The 19,336-nt window shown below is 38.1% G+C and overlaps 1 protein-coding gene across 8 annotated transcripts in view; it reads right to left on the bottom strand.

Annotated features, from left to right (window-relative positions):
* The window catches only part of STK32A (serine/threonine kinase 32A), a 166,965-nt gene that overhangs the window by 26,206 nt on the left and 121,423 nt on the right, over nucleotides 1-19,336 (bottom strand). For 5 of the 8 annotated variants that reach the window (XM_011537577.3, NM_001112724.2, NM_001287740.2 and 2 more), the window contains 4 exons: nucleotides 14,171-14,268; nucleotides 5,015-5,131; nucleotides 2,491-2,616; nucleotides 567-695 (listed from right to left, as the gene is read on the bottom strand). In XM_011537577.3, the coding sequence (XP_011535879.1) occupies nucleotides 567-695; nucleotides 2,491-2,616; nucleotides 5,015-5,131; nucleotides 14,171-14,268 (470 nt within the window). Of the gene's footprint in view, nucleotides 1-566; nucleotides 759-2,490; nucleotides 2,617-5,014; nucleotides 5,132-5,958; nucleotides 6,914-14,170; nucleotides 14,269-19,336 lie in introns of those variants that run through there. The other 3 variants (XM_017009213.2, XM_011537579.3, XM_047416912.1) reach the window with 3 other exon arrangements.

Raw genomic sequence — 19,336 nt, 5'->3', positions numbered from 1 at the left:
TTAGTTACAAAGTTAATTTAACTCAGCCTGAAATCCAGCAATAGTGCTCCACCATGTTAGAATTCCGTCATTCCTGTGAACAGACACTCTTCTGTGAGGCTTGATATCATAAAATTCTGCTTGTGGCAAAGAACAGACATCATCTCTAGGGTTGGCTGCTCCCAGAAACTCCTCAAAGCAGGAGTGAGGTCCAAAACAACCATGTGTGTACTTTGAAACCTGCCCCTTTACCATAATTTTATGAATCATCCCCTGACCTAAGCTTGGCCAATGACAGTTCCTCTCCCAGGAAATTTGTAAATTTTGAATTGAGAACTGGAAGAGAGAAATAACTGAGTCAAGTTAATGGCAGAACTCTAGACGGAAAGCCTACAAGTAAAATGTTGCTGCTAGGATCCTCAGAGGAGCTCTGGTCTGCCCTTTTAGAAACCCGGCTGATCTACTTCTCCTATTTCACTAAGCAGCAAAAGCAGGAAGCTGAAATGACCTCCCAGTAGAAGCTCTCGAAGATATTGCAGCCATCATGGGGATACCCATGACCCTGAGTTTGGTGGGGACCTGCTTACCTGAGAAGAATCGCATTTCCTCATATCCTTCTCCTTCTTTGCCAGACGCTTTTTTTTCTTATGTAGAGGTTTGGACTCCAAAATCATTTCCTCAAGTTCAAAGGTAGGATCACAATTCAGCCTGCCTTTCTGCAAGGAAGACAGTTGGCTCAATCCTCAGATTACTGTATCATTCTGAAAAACACAGCAGACCTAATACGGAAAATAATACTTAGTCTTAACGGAGCAGTCCATGAATAATACACTGGGATTCCCACTCTAAGTTTTACGTTATTTATTGCCAGCATCGTTTTTCATATTCTTCGTTTATTTTTCTAAACTCTCAATTAGGCCTCAATGAGTAAAAACAAAAGCCGACTTACAGTTATTTTTCTAAAGTGGAAAATAAATTTTGGGTTATGTTTCCGAAAGTGCGCTCTAATAATCATGTAACTCAGAATCACCTAAGTTGCTTGCTCAGCTTCCCAGTTCTCCAACCAGACTTCCCAAATCAGAATTTCAGAATGTGAGGTCCAAGAACTTGCACTTTAATGAGCTTCCCAGATGATTCCGATTCACACTAAAGTCAGAGAAGCATAACGTAGAACTTCTTTTGAGCCAGCATTGATGGCTAATTGCAGGGACGCAACACATAGAAGGAGGGGGAAGCAAGAGTTGGGGTGCCTAGACCTTCATTGTGTCATGTGTCAATTATGGTACAAGTTGCCCCTAATGGACCCCACAAAGCGGAGAGGTAAGAACTCAGACCTACCCTCCTGTTGCTCCATAAGGTACAATTCCACCACCCTGCTTTCTCCTTTCTCTCACTTTGTACTTTCTCCTTACCCTCTCATTGGAGCATGCCTCCTGCTGTGTGTACATGAAGGATCACACTCTCACATTCCCACAGCAAATGCCTCATATGGGCTTAAGAGTAATTTTTTTTTTTTTTTGAGACAGGGTCTCACTCTGTTACCCAGGCTAGAGTGCAGTGGCACAATCACTGCTCATGCAGCCTCAAACTCCTGGGCTTAAGTGATCTTTCTACCTCAGCCTCCTAGGTAGCTGAGACTACACCCAAGTACCACCACGCCTGCCTAATTTTTTTTTCTTTTTCTGTAGAGACACGGTCTTGCCATGTTGCCAAGGCTGATCTTGAACCCCTGATCCTCCTGCCTCGGCCTCCTAAAGTGCTGAGATTGCAGGCCTGAGCTGCCATGACAGCCAAAACAGAAAACTGAATTGGTTCTACAGGCCCCTTTAGAAGCCTCTTATTCTGCCCAATATACCTACAACTGAACATATAATTTCAGTTCTAGGCAGAGAGAAGGAGCTAGTGGCCTCACTTGGGACCTTTGGCCTAAGCTTCTGGACTCTGGCTCTTACCAGCATAATGCAGTAGACCACAGAAGTCCATTGGTTTGGCTATCCATCCAATGGGAATTATATGTCTTTGGTTATCAGTCCTTACAAATATAAATCCCTGAGACAGAACAAACAAAGGATGAGGGGCAAATGCTAAAATAAATTCCTCACCCCAACTCCAACAATTTTCAATTCTTTGACTCAGATCTCTAGGGACACAAACTTCTGCATCTTTAGAATCAAAGAAAACTTAAAAAAAACCCCAGCAGATTCATGAGAATGACTATTTGGGGAACTAGGACTTCCTTTCAATAAAAACAGACCATAAAAAGTGGTTAAAAGCTAGAACTTCAGTCGCAAATACACCTGGATTAGAATCCCAGCTTGACTACTTGCTAGCTTTGTGACCTTTGGTGACAAACTTACCCTGTGCATGTCTCAATTCTCTCATCTGTAAAATGGGAATTGGGGCTCTCTTAACAACACTGGTGTGATTATCTAATGAGACAATGTGTGAATCTGGCACACCGGGTAATGCGCACTGAATGGGAGTTATTTGGCTTTGTTAGGATTGACTCACATTAGGAATGAAACCTGGAATGAGCCTCTTCTGAAAAACTGCATCCCAGTTTATATCATTCATATACGGGAAGTTCTGGACATCAGATAACTGAGAAAATCGTTGGTCTGGATTAGGTTCGAGTAGCTGCCAATAAAATGCAAACATCAAGGCCATAAGAAAGGATAGAAGGACAAAAAAAAATCATACAAATTCCCTCTAAATGCTTTCAACTGTAGGACTGAAGGAAAATAGACAGTGTCCCCTATCCCTAATCCCATAAACAATGTAGATCATACATTATTAGAATGAACAGTATGTAGGATTCTGCAATGTGATGAGTAAAAATGGCTTGTCCTACTAAGTCAAATATATCTTTGATTCTTGACTCCTCTACTTACTAAGGGCAAATTTGTTCTCTAAATCTTAGTTTACCCATGTGTTTAAAAAAAGTGGTAATAATGTATTTCATACGATTGTAATCAGGATTAGTGGGAGGCTATTTATACAAAGTACCTAGTAGAAAACCTATGGTGACAAATGTTGATACATTTCACAAGTAGAACTCATTTCCTACTAAGAATTGTAGCTGTTTTTACAACTAATTAAAATACATTGGGGGCGGCATAGATAAGGTGTAACTAAAGTAACTGTTATAGTTCTAGATTTTACTAATTGAGATAAAAGATTTTTGCCCCCTTAACCATTCCTGAGCCAACATCACAGCAATTGTGTGGCTCAAATAGGCATTGTCAGTCCCACTTGAGAATGCTTCTGAAGATGACAACCATGCAACCTCAGGGTGTAATTTGTGGAGTGAAGCAGGGCTGTCTTGGAACTAAGCAGAATTTGCTTATGAAAAATGATCCCCCATTCTATGTCTTTGACATTACTGATGCAATGTCCCTATTCCAAAATAAGGAACTTGACTCCAAAAACAAGAGACACAAATGATGACTCCTTAGCCACTAAAGCTATTTTCCATTACCAGCCACAACTGGTGCAATTTTCTCCTCAAAAAAAAAAAAAAAAAAAAAAAAAAAAAAGGCCAAGCCCATTCCTCTTGGGCCCCTCATTCTTGTTTTGTATCATCACTCAATATACACTTTTGACCTCCCGCTATAACTGTTCTTCATCTGTTTGATGAAGATGGGTACCTTGAAAATCTGATGAAAGCTGTGGACCTCATTTATTTGAATACTTGTCAAATTTCACTTCTCAGGCTTTGTGTTAGATGCTGAGAATACAATGGTAACACATGTCAGACATGGTCCCTACCCTCATGAAGCTAAGAAGAAAATGGTACGTAACCAAGGATCACACAAATGCTGGGTATAATTTTAAACTGAAAAATGCTATGAAGGAAAGATAGTGTTATGTGAACTTACACCAAGAAGGTGATATTTGAGCTAAGAGCTAAAGTTGTGCTTCCCAAACTATGTAGAAGGGTCAGTTATTTTTGTTTGTTTTTGTCTGTTTCAATTTCCAATCCACTGAAATCAGTATGTGGTCTTATTATGCATTGCCAGTATGCAGCACCCCACATAGACACCTTGTGACTTGAGTTCAACAACCGTCAAACAAGCTTGGACCCTCTTCAATAAGATAAGTCCATTGATCATGTGTTTAGATGCTACAGCAGTGTCCAATTGCTATAAAAGTTTCTAAATGCTTCTCTCAAGTTCTTTACTTACAATAGACCTGCAGAAAAAATTCATGGACTAGAACCAGTGAACCACATTGAGTAGTACTGCTCTCAAGGAGGAACTGGAGGAACTAGGATTGGAGGCACTGTTCCAGGAATAGGTACTGGCATGTGCAAAGGTCCTGTGGTGAGAGGAAGACTGGTATGTAAAAGTGAAGAAGGAGAAAAGAAAGAAAAGAAGAAGAAAAAGGCCAAAGCAGTTTATGTGTAGTCAAAGGGGGGACAAAAGTCCAAAAGTCCAAAACAAGGCTTGAGAGGTATTTTGAACTTTTGTACCACAAAATTATTTTAATCTTTATTCTAAGAATAAGGAAAATATCCTGGACTGTCCTTTAACAGACCACTGTGGGGCTGCATGGGGAATAGAATGGAGTGGTAAAAGTGTATGTGGACAAACCCGTTATAAGGCTAGACTGATGGCAGTTGGATCAGGGAAATAGTAGTGAGGACAGAGAGAAGTGAAATATTTTAATACTTAAAATATAAAATTTCAGAACCTGGTGATGAATTGAATACGCAGATGACAAATGAGTCCTGGTTGCTGGCTGGCGTAAGTGGATTTGGATAGAGAAGCCAGTCACTGAGAGAATTTCCTGAGAAGATATTCAGGAAAGACAAAGATAAAGAAGTCCTTTGAGTTTAAGATGGCTTTGGGACATCCAAGGGGAATCTGAGTTGAGTTAATGAAGCCATGTATTTGAAAGCTAACAGCTAGAAAATACACTCTACAAATGTATACTATCATGACTGTCCCCAATATTGTATACTAACTTCTAAACTTAAGCCAGAGAGCCTGCTTCCTTTTGTTACTTCGTTTGGACATGCAGTCTTCCTTCTTACCTTTTTAAGAAGTGACACCATTTCCTGTGACCAGGCAGAAGGGTAAGTTACAACAGTCGTCTCAAACGTGTGTACAATTTCCTTGCTGGAAGTACTGGAGCGAATATGATACGGTCTCTTAAGGGAGAAAAGAAGTAAAAGTCTTCATTTGTATAGGACAAAAGAAAAAAAAAATTTCCAAATGTTTCCAAGCTAAACTTTCAACCGATAAAATATCTATATCAATTTCTAACCCTGTCCAGCTGACTCTTGCGTTGCCATATGTGTAGGTGGTCCTGTGTTGCCAGACCCCCTACTTTTTCTTAAAGAGACACTAGGAATTTATGGTCGCTTCTAAAATACCATAAATTTTAAAGTTGAACACTCCACTGAGCCAAACAAAACATTCAAGTGGACTGAATCAGCCTCTGAGATGCTGATTTGAAATTGTTTTATAAGGTATTATATAAGTATTAACACGAAATACTGGACAAGTCCTCAATAAATGGAAGTCTAAAAAATTATTATGTAAGGGTTGATTGCAAGTAAATCCAGAATTTTACCATACCATCCCTTTCACTGCAACATAATGAGGAAGCTCAGGACAGAAAACTGCTCAGAAAACATCAACTCCAGTCCCACAAATGCTATGAGTCCCTGGTTCCACAGAGTATGGCAGGGTGGAGAATTTTGTGATGAGGCAGAAGCTTTTAAAAAAAATTTTGGGGGAAGAACCAGGTTCTTCTACAGTTTTAATTTTGAAGAAAAGTAATTTAAAAAGAAAAGAAATTAAACAAAAGAAAACTGTGGATTAGCTGTAGTTTTCACAGCTTTACACTAGAGGACAGCCTTTATCTATATTATTTTGTAGGGGACTCACCAACACTGAAATTTCATGTCTCTTATGTGAACTGTAAGATACTCACAGCCAGAGATTATATCATTCTTGTTCATGAGACCAAGCATTCAGTAGGTGCACAATACATGTTTATTTAATGAACAAAATTTCCATATTCGATTAACTAGCCACAGCACAGTTAATATGGATATACACATTGATCACATGCCTGGCCCTTTTAAGATATTTAATAAATGACTGTTGATGGATGACCTAAATTGGGGGAAATGAAAGGGTTTAAGTTTTTCCCTGTAGTAAATCAGTGTTAAGAGGTAATATAAAATAATCATGTGTTTGAGGTTAAAAGGATTTGGTGCTAAACTTCTCCACTCAATTTCTGAGCTTGTTACTTCATCTGTAAAATGAGCTACCTCATGAGATTGCTGGAAAAATTAAAGGAGATAATATGTGTAAATTTCTCAACAGAGTGAGTGGCTAATAGTATTAGACACAATATAAGAGAGAGATTTTTATCATTATTGACACAAAGGTAAAAATGGGCATATGTAAATGTGAATGAATAGTGAACAGCAAAATGAGTCCTCAAGAAAAGTGATGGGAAGAAAAGCTTAATTTTACACATGGCAAGTCAATGTCAGCTATTCATGGAACCATGAAGTGCCAGGAGGTGGCCCTTGAAAGGGAGATTAATTCAAACATTTTTGCTTTTTAAGTAAGATCTAAAAACAACTGCCATATTTACCCCCTCAACACTAAATAAAGGACCATAGCTATATCATATGTCTTGGTAATTATATAGTAGAAATAACTCATTAACTCAATATCAGTAAAGGAGTGCTAGATGCTTTATCACCATTATCAATGTTTATTGGTAATTTAGTAGCCAAAGGGTTAGGTTACTCCATATGATTCAGACCATGTTTATCATTAAGAATCAGATTAGGCTTAGTATACTCAAGCTTCTAGGCTTATATGTGTATGCACATGTGTTTTTACTTTTTTCTGTGTTTCTTCTTGATTTTAATTCATTGCTGCTTCTCAACCTACTGTTTCTGGGCCACCTAGAAAATAAAATGATTTTATAAACAAATGAATTAACTGATGAATGCCACAAGCAGCTGGTTTAAGTGTGTACATTTTTCTCTAGTTACTTTACAAGGCCATATGACTGAATTTAATTTTTAAAATCTCCATGACCTGTTGGTTTATTAAAAAATAATCACATTGTCTTTATCTTATTTTTTAATTTACTTTTACAGTTCTAAATTTTAAAATTAATTTGAATTAATCAACTACCAGAATTGTATATTTATTTATTTACCAATTATTTATTGAATGCCTACCATGTTCCAGCACCTTTCTTAGGCATTGAGGGTACAATGAAGAACAAGACACATATGGTTTCTATGTTGGTGGGGCCTACAGTCTACTTAAGGAAGCATGTAAATTTATTATATAGACTGTATACACACACACACACACACTTAAATAAATGGGATACATGCTATAGAGAAAAATTACAGTATGCAGTCACAGTATATATCATAAAAGCCTAAGGCAGCATCTAAACTAACAGTGAGCATATAGAGAATAAACAAAGTGGAAAAGGTGAAATGTTATAAGGGAACAAATGATGTGTTGTGAATATGGTTGTATTTCAGAAGTGCAAAGGCAAAAGAATTGCAGCTAAGCATGTACAATGAGTACAAAACTATGTACACATCTATCCTAAGTTAACACTTTTGGATAATATGAAACTATAAAAGATGTGGACCTTTGCCTTTGCAATGGCAATGAGATAGTAGGGAGTTAGAGAGATGACAAAGCAGATTAATAGTTAAGGGACACATTCATTAAGACTGAAACCAAACTCAGAAATGATGAGAATGTTTTCGAGCACATTTTCTCATTAAGACATATACTTTTCTGTAAATAAAAATTTGTACGTATGGAGGAAATTGTTTAGCACACTTCCTCTGTGCTTGAGTTGTATTGATGCTTGTAATTAAATGTTACTTCCTTTTCTTCAGATAAGCTACATTTTGAAACGTAATTGCAGGTAGCATAGTTGGTCATTTTTTCCTAGAAGGTGTCTAAGTGATTTGTTTCTCCATTCATTCAATAACTGTCAGGCCTCTGAGCCCAAGCTAAGCCATCATATCCCCTGTGACCTGCACATACACATCCAGATGGCTGGTTCCTGCCTTAACTGATGATATTCCACCACAAAAGAAGTGAAAATGGCCGGTTCCTGCCTTAACTGATGACACTACCTTGTGAAATTCCTTCTCCTGGCTCATCCTGGCTCAAAACGTCCCCCGCTGAGCACCTTGTGATCCTCACCCCTGCCCACCAGAGAACAACCCCCCTTTTTCCTTTACCTACCCAAATCTTATAAAACGGCCCCACTCCTATCTCCCTTCGCTGATTCTCTTTTCGGACTCAGCCCACCTGAAACCCAGGTGAAATAGCCTTGTTGCTCACACAAAGCCTGTTTGGTGGTCTCTTCACATGGATGTGAGTGAAAATAACCATGTATTATATACCTATTTAAAGTTAAATATTGTGACCAGGTGCGGCGGCTCACACCTGTAATCCCACCACTTTGCAGGGCCAAGGCAGGTGGATTGCTTGAGCCCAGGAGTTCAAGACTAGCCTGGGCAACATGGTAAGACCCCAACTCTACAAAAAATACAAAAAATTTCCAGGCATGGTGGCATATGCCTGTAGTCCCAGCTACTTGGGAGGCTCAGGCGGGAGGGTTGATTGGACAGAGGAGGGGGTGGTTGCAGTGAGCCGAGATTGGGCCATTGCACTCCAGCCTGGGGGACAGAGCAAGACTCTCCTGAGGAAAAAAAAAACAGTTAAATACTGTGAATAATACTAACCTATATAAGATACATACTTTACCTTTAATGAATTAACAACCTAATAATATACAAGAGATAAAAAATAAAAATTGATATGCCTATAGATTTAATCCTTAAAAAGAAAATAGATTTAGGTGTTCTGATCTAGAAAGCTGTACATTTTATCTTATGAAATGAAAAAAAAAAAGGCTCAACAAGGTAAAACATACTTCTATTTTTGCTAAAACAACACATCTATCTATATCTATCTATCTGAAGATAGAGTATCCTTATGAGAACAGAAACAAGTTGGAAGTGAATGCAACAAACTGCTAAGATGGGGTTTAAAAGTCAAAGGGAGTTTAATTTCTTAATTGGAAATGTTCTTTGCCTTAGAGACTACAGCTGATTTTTGCTTTCATTTTCGTGGTTTTCTATATTTTCTAATAAGCTTAGATTCCAAAGATTCACAGGATACATAAAGTAAATAAATGTTTGGAAGAGATTCGGATCACTTTAGATAGGGAGGTCAGAGAATGTTTCTTTAGAGAAAGTGCTATTTTGTCATAGGTGATAAAGTATGAATAGAATTTGAATATAAAGAGATCTAGAAAAACCTCCCCAACACGAACTGGAATAGTTTAATAGTGTGTCCTTTCTTAGAAATGACCAAAATACTTGGCTATAAAGATTTTGAAAAGCCCTGCAATGAAGATATATCCTTTATTAAAACTTCATTTAGTGATTTCAAATCTTACGCAGAGTGATTTTTAAAGAAGACCAAGGTTTGCCTTGGAAACTCTCTTTATAGGCGAAGGAACAAGAGGTTAAAAAACCCAAGAGATGCTTTGAGAAGAGGAAGAAGTTCTAAGAGGCCAAAATGAGTTCATGAAGGGTCAGAAATACACAAATGGAAGCAAAATCTGAAACGTTGACCTAATTCCGAAGAATGCCAAGCTAAGACATCTGAAGTTTGTTGTGGGGAGTGGGCGGGGGTGCAGATAAGGCTTGTGAAGGGTGTGTATGTGTATGTGTGTGTGTGTGTGTGTGTAGCACTGGGGAGCAACAGTAGTTTCTTTTTCTTAACAAAAAAGGTCATATCTGTGCTTTAGAAAAATGAATTTGTCAAAGTTGACATATCAAATCACAGGGAACTAGCATAGAGGTAAAATAATATGGGAAGAAGAGAAACAATTTTCTTAGCAAAATTCTTTCCAGGCAGGCGAGAATACCTCTTTTAGATAGGTGATAGTTAAATACAATCCTAGGCATGTTTGAAGAATAACAGATAGTCGTTTGTCTGTTTCAACTCGCTCCTCTGCTTCTGTTTTGCTAGGTGTGTCATAAAAGATGAGGGCAGAGCACAATTGCTCTGAACCCCAGAAGCAGCTAGCAAGGGTCTAACACAGAAGCACAGCCACAGAAGGTGAGTAAATTGGCTGGGGAGAAAAAAATTAAGGGTGAAGTGGGAAAGAGCAGATATGTTTCTACTTTTAAGTAAGTGTATGTTTCTCTTCTCTGTTTTCCTATATAATCATGAGTAGCGTATCTACTTGTTCACTGGATTTATTTAGAAACTTGAAAAAAAAAAGCCCATCAGGAGATAAAAACAGGTAATATCCCTATGTAGGACTTACACATTTGGCTTACAAGGGTGGTCCTTTCACATCAATTTGACTAACTTATCCAAATTTGAATATACTTAAGAAATAGTGCTACAATGACTTCCTCAGGAAAGGCAGGAGTACAAACAATGAACTAATGAATGTTTGGGTGTAAAATGGACCCTGCAGAGTGAATGAAACAGATACAATTGTGAGATCCTCCTTTTTTTTGCTTTAGAAACACTCATCTTTGATTTCCTGAGCAAGATAAAGCCATTGGACCATGATGAAATAACCCCAACTTCTAACAACTGTTCTTACTGTGAATAGGTTAATTACTTGGGAGATGGCATTTTTAATGCAGAAATCATGATGGTGTGTTGTGGGACCAAAGAAGAGGGCTATTGACAGCAGCAGAAAGAATGACTCCAAAAAGTTAGGAGAGGAGAGCTGCAGTATCTGGATGATGACTTGAGATACCCAATTCTTTAGTTCTGTGGGATAAACAAGCTCCTAAAGTCAGGTCTTCAACTCTTTGGTCTTAGAGGAATCACTGATTGCATCCATCACTGGGACCTTGAGAGTATACAACCTGTTACAGACTGAATGTATCCCCCCAAAATTTCTAAATTTAATCCCTAACCTTCAATATGATGGTATTTGGAGATGAAGCCCTTGGGAGGTAATTAGGGTTAGATTAGGTCATAAGGGTGGAGCCCTCAGGATAGGATTAGTGGCCTTATTACAAAAAGAAGAGAAAGAGATTATCTCTCTCTCCGTCATGTGAGGGCAAGAAAGAAGCTGTCTGCAAGTCAGGAAGAAAGCCCTCACCAGAACCCAACCATGATGGCACGTTAATCTCAGAATTCTAGACTCCATAACTGAGAAAATAAATTTCTGTTGCCTAAGCCACCAATTCTGTGGTATTTTGTGAAGGCAGATATTGCAGACTAAAATTTTGGTATTGAGAATTGGAATGCTGCTGGAACAAATGCCTTAAAATGTGGAAGTGACTTTGGAACTAGTTATTGAGCTGGAAGACTGTGGATGTATGCACTAGAAATATGGATATTAAGGGTGATTCTGGTGAGGTCTGACAGAAATGAGGAACATGTTATTGGAAACTGGAGGAAAGGTGATTCTTGTTATAAAGTGGCAAGGAGCTTGTCTGAACTGTGTTCTACTATTTTGCAGAAGGTAGAAATTGTGAGTGATGAAATGAGATATTTAGCTGAGGAGATTTCTTTTTTTTTTTTTTTTTTTTGAGATGGAGTTTCGCTCTCATTGCCCAGGCTGGAGTACAATGTTGTGTTCTCAGCTCACTGCAACATCTACCTCCCAGGTTCAAGTGATTCTCCTGCCTCAGCCTCCTGAGTAGCTGGGATTACAGGCATCCACCACCATGCCCGGCTAATTTTGTATTTTTAGTACAGATGGGGTTTCTCCATGTTGATCAGGTTGGACTCGAATTACTGACCTCAGGTGATCTGCCCGCCTCAGCCTTCTAAAGTGCTGGGATTATAGGCATGAGCCACTGCACCAGGCCAGCCGAGGAGATTTCTAAGCAAAACTTTGAAGGAGTAACTTGGTTCCTTCTGTCTGCTTATAGTAAAATGTTAAAGGGAATGTTTGAATTGAAGAAAAAATAATTAAGCAAAAAGCAACCAGAAATTGAAGATTTCTATCCATATTGCAGAAAATGAGCAAGCCTGTTCTGAAGAGCACACTAGAGTGTAGCTGAACAATCAAGTAGTTATCACAACAGAAGCTAGAAATAAAGATGGGATTATACTAGCAGATGCTGCCAGTTTGAATTTATGGAGAAAGGCTGTCAGACTTCTTGGATTTTACAGGCTGGGACCGTAATGCTATCCAGCTGTGAACATGTGCTATCCTTCAAGTAAAAGGAAGAAGGATCATGAGGGCGATTCACAGATCATCAGGGCTGCCATTCCCACTACAGGTCCAGAGTGCACTGGCTTGGGGAGCAGGGTTGCCTCCACCTCTGTTTCGAAGGGCAGGACCACCACTCAACAGAGCTGTGTAGACAGAGCCTTCACAGAGAGCCATGTGGGTAGTGCCTTTGTAGAGAGCCACTTAAGCAAGTCCCCTCTCCCCATCCCCAGCCATGAGAGTGATTGCTCCCATGCCTGTGTAGATCTAGAGGGCAAACCAACAACTCAAAGAAGATTATTCTCGAGTTTTAAGATATAATAGAATTTGCTTTGATATGTTCTGGACTTGTTTAGGAGCTGATGCCCCTTCCTTCTTTCCCATTTCTCTTTTGAAATGTTGGAATGGGATTCTCTATCCCACAGCTATGGTATCATTGTATTTTGGAAGCACATAACTTGCTTGTTTTTTGTTTGTTTGTTTTTTGTTTTGTTTTGTTTAATGATGGGGTCTCACTCTGTAGCTCAGGCTGGAGTGCAGTGGCATGATCTTGGCTCACTACAGCCTCTACCTCCTGGGCTCAAGTGATTCTCCCACCTCAACCACCTGAGTAGTTGGGACCACTGGCTTGCCCCACCATGCCTGGCTAATTAAAAAAAAAAGGTGTTGTAGACACAGGGTCTCCCATGTGGCCCAGGCTGGTCTCACACTCCTGGGCTCAAGGAATCCTCCTGCCTCCTACCTCTTAAAGTGTTGGGATTACAGGCATGAGCCAGTGCCTGGCCACTTGTCTGCTTTTATAGGTACATAGCTGAGGAGAAATTTTGCCTTAGGATGAATCATACCTCGAGTCTCACCCATACACAATTTCTATGATGTTTAGATGAGATTTTGGACTTCAGACTTTAGAGTTGATATGGGAATAAGTTAAGACTTTTGGGACTGTTGAATGTATGTATTTTGCATATGAGAAGGACATGAATATTGGAGGGGTCAAGGATAGAATGTCATGGACTGAATGTTTGTGTCCCACTCAAAATTCAGATGTTGAAGCCTTAACCCTCAATTTGATGGTATTTGGAAATGGAGCCTCTGAGAGGGAATAAGGGTTAGGTTAGTTTATGGGGGTAGGTCCCTCGTGATGGGATTAGTAGACTTATAAGAAGACAAAGATCTCTCTCTGCCATGTGAGGACACAGAAAAAAGGCTGCTATCTGCAAGCCAAAAAGAGATTTCACCATAACCCAACCATTCTGGCATCTTAATCTCAGACTTCCAACCTCCATAACCAAGAAAATAGATGTCTGTTATTTAAGCCATCCTGTCTGCAGTATTTTATTATGGTAAGCAGAGCTGACTGAGATATAACCTAAGGAGTGTATTTCTATTATGTAATAGTTTGCACAAATTGTATAAAATATGTTTCAGCATATTTGCTTTCTTTTCATCTCTTTTTTCTGGGAAAGAGATTCTTAGTTTAAGAAATGTTTCCTTTAAAAGGAAATGACTCTAATTTGTCACTGAACCCAGAACCCAGGAGCCAAGTGATAGAAATCCAACAAGACAGAGCATGAATTGTGTTGTATTAATAATTCACACTAGCCTTGGTGAGGTATGTCTGAATTAGAGTCCTGTACTATGACTGCAAAATGACTTTCTTTAAACAAACACAGATATTTACACAAGATATTTAGTGAGGTGTATTGATTTCCCCTCTTTGGGAGTTTATAATATCCATATTATTCCTTTACTTTTAACTGTGTAATTTAATGGTAATTGACATGGTTGGTCCCATATGCGGGACAAATGAATTAACCTATGCAGAAATCTCAAGGGGTGTTATCAACATCACATGGCATAGCTGATTTCAGCTTTCAAGTGAACTGCTTGGATCTTAGCAAACAATACATTCTTTCATTCTAAAATAGAACTTGCTGGAAAAATAACCAAAGAGGAAATGCTACTACAGTACCCGGCCTCTCAGCAGTTCATATGCCGTCACTCCCAGGGACCACCAGTCAACAGCAAAGGAATAGCCTGCTCCTTTTCTGGAGCTGAACATCTCAGGTGCTGAAAAACACGAAAAATTAAACCAGTTTGATTCCCTGAGACATTAGTATTATATTTTCTCAACATGTTCCTCCAAAGGAGAATTACCAGGATCAAAAATATAAACACTTTTATGGATGTTTATCATCCGTTGCTAGATTGCTCACAGCAGGCAAACATTTCTAATTTTCTAATCTCTCTCAGTAGCCTCATTCATCAGTCAACACACACAGGCATGCATAGGCCTTCATGGATAAACTCTTCGCTTATTTAGATCATGCACCGATTAAAATTTGGGTCCTATTGGGCCTCAAATATGTGGCTCACCCTGAAATCAAGAAGGCTAAGAAGATGTTATTTGTTTTGATTGGGAAGGTTTCAACTAAAGGATCTAAATTTCTATAACAGTCGCAGACAACGTGCAGAATTTGGTACAGCATACATTGGATAATCTCTCTATCTCAGAGTCACCTGGAAGCAGCAAGGGAAGCACTTGCAGCCATCTGTTGGGGATGAGGGAGGGAGAAAAGAGGGAGCAAGCATTCTGGAGAGTGTAAGGTTTTACAACAGCTGTGGGTTCTTTACACTTTGTAACTGTAGTTCTTTCAATTGATTCCAGTGGAAGGCAGAGCTACAGTCAATTTTACCCCCAGAGAGGACCCCAAGTTATGCATTCTCTAAGCACTTTGACACACTATGAACCTTTTACTTACCCTTCTAAGAATAAACCTAACTCCTGAGGGATGTAATAGGGAGAATGAAGCACAAAGCAAAGGCAGGGAATGCTTCTGCATGCTCACCACCATATTCCTACTGTCTAATACAGAATCTGGCATTCAGAATCACTGGAGAGAAATTTGTTGAATGAATGAACAAATCAATTGCTCAAGCAATAGTTGTGATCATTAGCTCTGGAGCTGTGCTCTCTGGGTTCAAATTCTACCTTCACCACTTACTGTGACCTTGAGCAAGTTGGCAGAGCCTGAGAAACAGCAAAAGCAGAACAATAAGGCAATCTTTCCCTTTTCTTTTCCTTTTTTTTCTTTCTTTCTTTCTTTCTTTTTTTTTTCTTTTTTTTTTTTTTTTTGAGACAGAATCTCACTCCATTGCCCAGGCTGGATTGCAGTGATACAATCATGGCTCACTGCAGCCTCGACCTCCCAGACTCAAGTGATCCTCCAACCTTGGCCTCCCAAGTAGCTGGGACTACAGGTGGGTACCACCACATTTGGTAAAATTTTTGTGCTTTTTGTAGAGATAGGGTCTTGCCATGTTGCCCAGACTGGTCTTGAACTCCTGGGCTTAGGTGATCCACCTGCTTTGGCCTCCTAAAGTACTGGGATTACAGGTGTGAGTCACTGCACCCAGCCAATAAGGCAATCTTTATAGAGTTAGAAATTAACAGTGATAATCCATGTCAAAATCTCAGTATGGTGCCTAGCACTTATAAAGTGCTCAGAAACATTGGGTAGGCTTCTAGAGAGGCAAACATTCATAATAATTGACCTAGTTGAAAGATTTGTATGGTTGATCCCAAGCCTCCTGTATAAAGTGCTGGCTCTGGGCAAAGGAAACTGGTATGACATGGGTCCTGCACACACAGGTTTTCCCTACCCAGTGCACTCATGTTCTTTTTAAGTAAAATCCTGTGAACAACATCCAACTAGAGAGGTAGAGTGTTTACATCCCAATGCCCGGGACTGGCCCTGACTATAAGAGCTTGATGCAGCAGGAATAAGGAGGGCTATTTCCCTAGTGCATTCACCTTTCATGAATCACTGCATCCTTTCTGCAAGTCACAGCCCCCAGTGCAATTTGGGAGGTAATGGCCCTGACCCCACACTACTCCCACAGACAGGATGGACTATATTTCTGCTCTCCCTTCTCAGTATCTCACAACAAGTCATATCAGATAGTCCCCAGGTGATGGGTGACAGACACGTCACTCAGAGAAGCTACAAAGAACTTTGAGGGATAATCAGAGCCACTGTGCTAAGAAAATGCCTAATAGAATAAACATTACTCTATACAAGTTATGTATCTGTCATATTGGATTATCCTTGGGGTTTACATGAGTATTCTTTTCACTTTCTTTCTTTCTTCCAGCTTTATTTATCCAGTATTCTTTTTCATCCTCTTCTACCTGGTCTATTTTCAGGCATTAAAACATTTTAATACACATTTATTCATTCAGAAAATATTCATGGTATGCAAGGCACTGAAGCATTTTGGTGGAACATTAAGAAGAAACCTTATGACAACATACAAAAACATAACAGACGAGTAATTATTTGAGCCCTCAAATAGCTGAGAAACCAGAGCAGGAAGATATTGAAGGGCTTTCACCAACCCTTCCAGAAGATTCCCTGCACCTAAGAGAGTACTAAGAGAGTCAGAGAAGGGCTAAGTGTCCTTCAAAAAAGCCACTGAGTATTTTGTTTGGTATTGCTCATTATGTATTTCTATACATATATTCAGAAAAGTAAATAAAACACTGCAGAATTAGCAAACAGTTATAAGCAAATGTCCACATAAACATGATACAGGTCAAGAAATAGAATCTTGTCCCCATCACTGTGTCCTGTTCTGTTCATAACCCTAGAAGTCACTGTGCTAAATTTTATGTTAATAATTTTCTTGTTTTTCTATATAGATCAATATCTATGTACATATTTTTAGACAATAGTTTAGCTTTGCCTATCTTATATAGCTCCCAGAAACTGTGGATAAATTGGCTAGCTACCTATTTATTTATTTCAGTGCTTTATAATAAAGGAAACACTAACAAAGCAAAAAAAAATCTATGCCTTGTATTCTATTAAATTCCATTAAATTAAATCCTATTAAATCAAATCGTATTCCTTGTATTCTTTGGTGTCTTACTTTTCTTACTCAATGGTATGTGTATAAGATTTATCCAAGTTGCTACATGTAGTTAAGTTTGTTCACTTTTAGTGCTATATGAATATACTGTAATTTACCTACCTATCCCATTGTTGATAGCCATTTGGGTTATTTTCAGTTTGGGACTATTGTGAACAATGCTGTCATGAACGTTCCTATACATGTGAGATTCCTATAAGTGCATATCTCTTTAGAGTGTATTCCTGGCAGGGGAACTGTTGGTGATAAGAATGTGTAACTTTTCTGTGTACCACAGAACTCCAAACTATTTACCAAAGTGTTGTATAAATTCACACTATGACCAGTATTAGATCAGGGTTCCTTTTGTTGAACATCCTTACCCACACTTGGCAATAACTGACCCTTTATTGCCAATCTGGTGAGTGTGTAATAGTATTTCACTGTGGTTTAAATTGGCATTGTCTTGTTTACTAATAAGCTTGACTACATTTTAATATATTTATTAAATATTTGGATTTCCATCATTTGGTTTTCAGATTTTTTTAAACGTGGGTATTAAATTTTGGTCAGGACATAAAGAAAGGGACCCAACACTAATCTATACATTTAATGGGATTAATTCATGGAACTTTACAAAAATGATTCTAAATTTCATCTACAAGAAAAAAATTGTGGAAGTAATATTTTTGGAAAAGAATAAAGAAAGAGTCCCGCATCCCATGTATTAACCTATAAAGCTACAAGATTTGAAATCTACAGAATATAGATATTAGCACAAAAATGTATTTAGTTTATGATGAACATATTTCAAATCAGCATGGAAAGGGACTTATTTAATACATAGTCTCAAAACAATTATTTAATAATCATACAAAAATAAAGTCAGATCCTTGCCACATCCGTTCAGTCAAAATAATATACAACTGAGTTAAGTAAAAAAATGAAACCATAATCAGAATAAAAATATTAAGCAAACACATCTAAAATCTGGTAAGAAGGTCTTGCTAAGAAAAGCATCAAAGTTAGAAAGCAAAGTAAAAAGATGAGTGGCTTGATAATATTTTTAGCAAGCTTTTCATGTCAAAACTAGGCCATAAAACAGCAACAAATTAAAAATGAGAAATTATATTTGTAATGAAATGTACAACAAATATGATACCCTAGGATTTCATATTCCAAATATATAAAAGGCAAGAATTATTTATATAATCAATAAGAACTATTGGAATAGGATAAAAGTATTAACACCTTAATAGAAAATGAGCAAAGAATTTGAACAGGCAATTGACAAAAGAAGTCAAAGAAATACTGTGGTAATATCATAATGTCATATCATTTTTACCTACCTTTTTTGGGACAATTAAAGATATTGATAGTGTAGCACTGATAAGAATGCAGGGAAATGAATATCTTCAGACACTTCCAGAGCAAGTACAAGTTAATATGAATTTTCAGAACAGAAATCTATTAACATGTAAAGGCTTTGACCAGAAATTCTTTTGCTCTTTTAATTAATCAAATTAATTAATTTTAATTAAGAAGTAAAAATTGCATATATTGTATATGACACTATTTTTTGAAATAAATACATTTTAGAATGGCTGAATAGAGCTAATTAACATGTGCCTTACCTCACATTACCCACATTACTGTTTTCTGTGGTGAGAACACAAAATTTTCTTTGAGTGATTTTCAGTAAGAGAATACACTATTATTATTGAATGAAAATTTATCACAAAGAAATAACTAAGTTCCAGGACATAATTCTGCTAACAGGATTTTTACTACAAATTTAAATGTACAGGTTGAGTATCCCCTATTTGAAATACTTGGGACCAGAAGTGTTCTGCATTTCAATTTTTTTTTTCAGATTTTGAAATATTTGCACTATACTGGTTGGCCATCCCAAATCCCCAAATCAATCCAAAATACTTCAATGAGCATTTCCTTTGAGTGTCATGTTGGTGTTCAAAATGTTTTGGATTTTGGAGCATTTTGGATTTGGGATGCTCTATCTGTATTTCAAAATGAGAAACAACCTAACATTCAACAATAAAAAATTGATTAAGAGAAGTGGGTTTCTATTTTAGCAGAGGCATGTTTATTGACATGAACAAAGGGACAGTACTGCAGCATGTTAAGAGTTAGGGCTCTGGCATCAGACCCCTATGACTGTCTCCAGCTTCACAGTCAACAAGTTTCTTAACCTTTCAGTCTGCTAATT

This window comes from Homo sapiens, chromosome 5, assembly GCF_000001405.40.
Source record: "Homo sapiens chromosome 5, GRCh38.p14 Primary Assembly".
Lineage (NCBI taxonomy): Eukaryota > Metazoa > Chordata > Mammalia > Primates > Hominidae > Homo > Homo sapiens.
The sequence above is the reverse complement of the archived record's forward strand: the minus strand, read 5'-3'. Positions and strand labels throughout refer to the sequence as shown.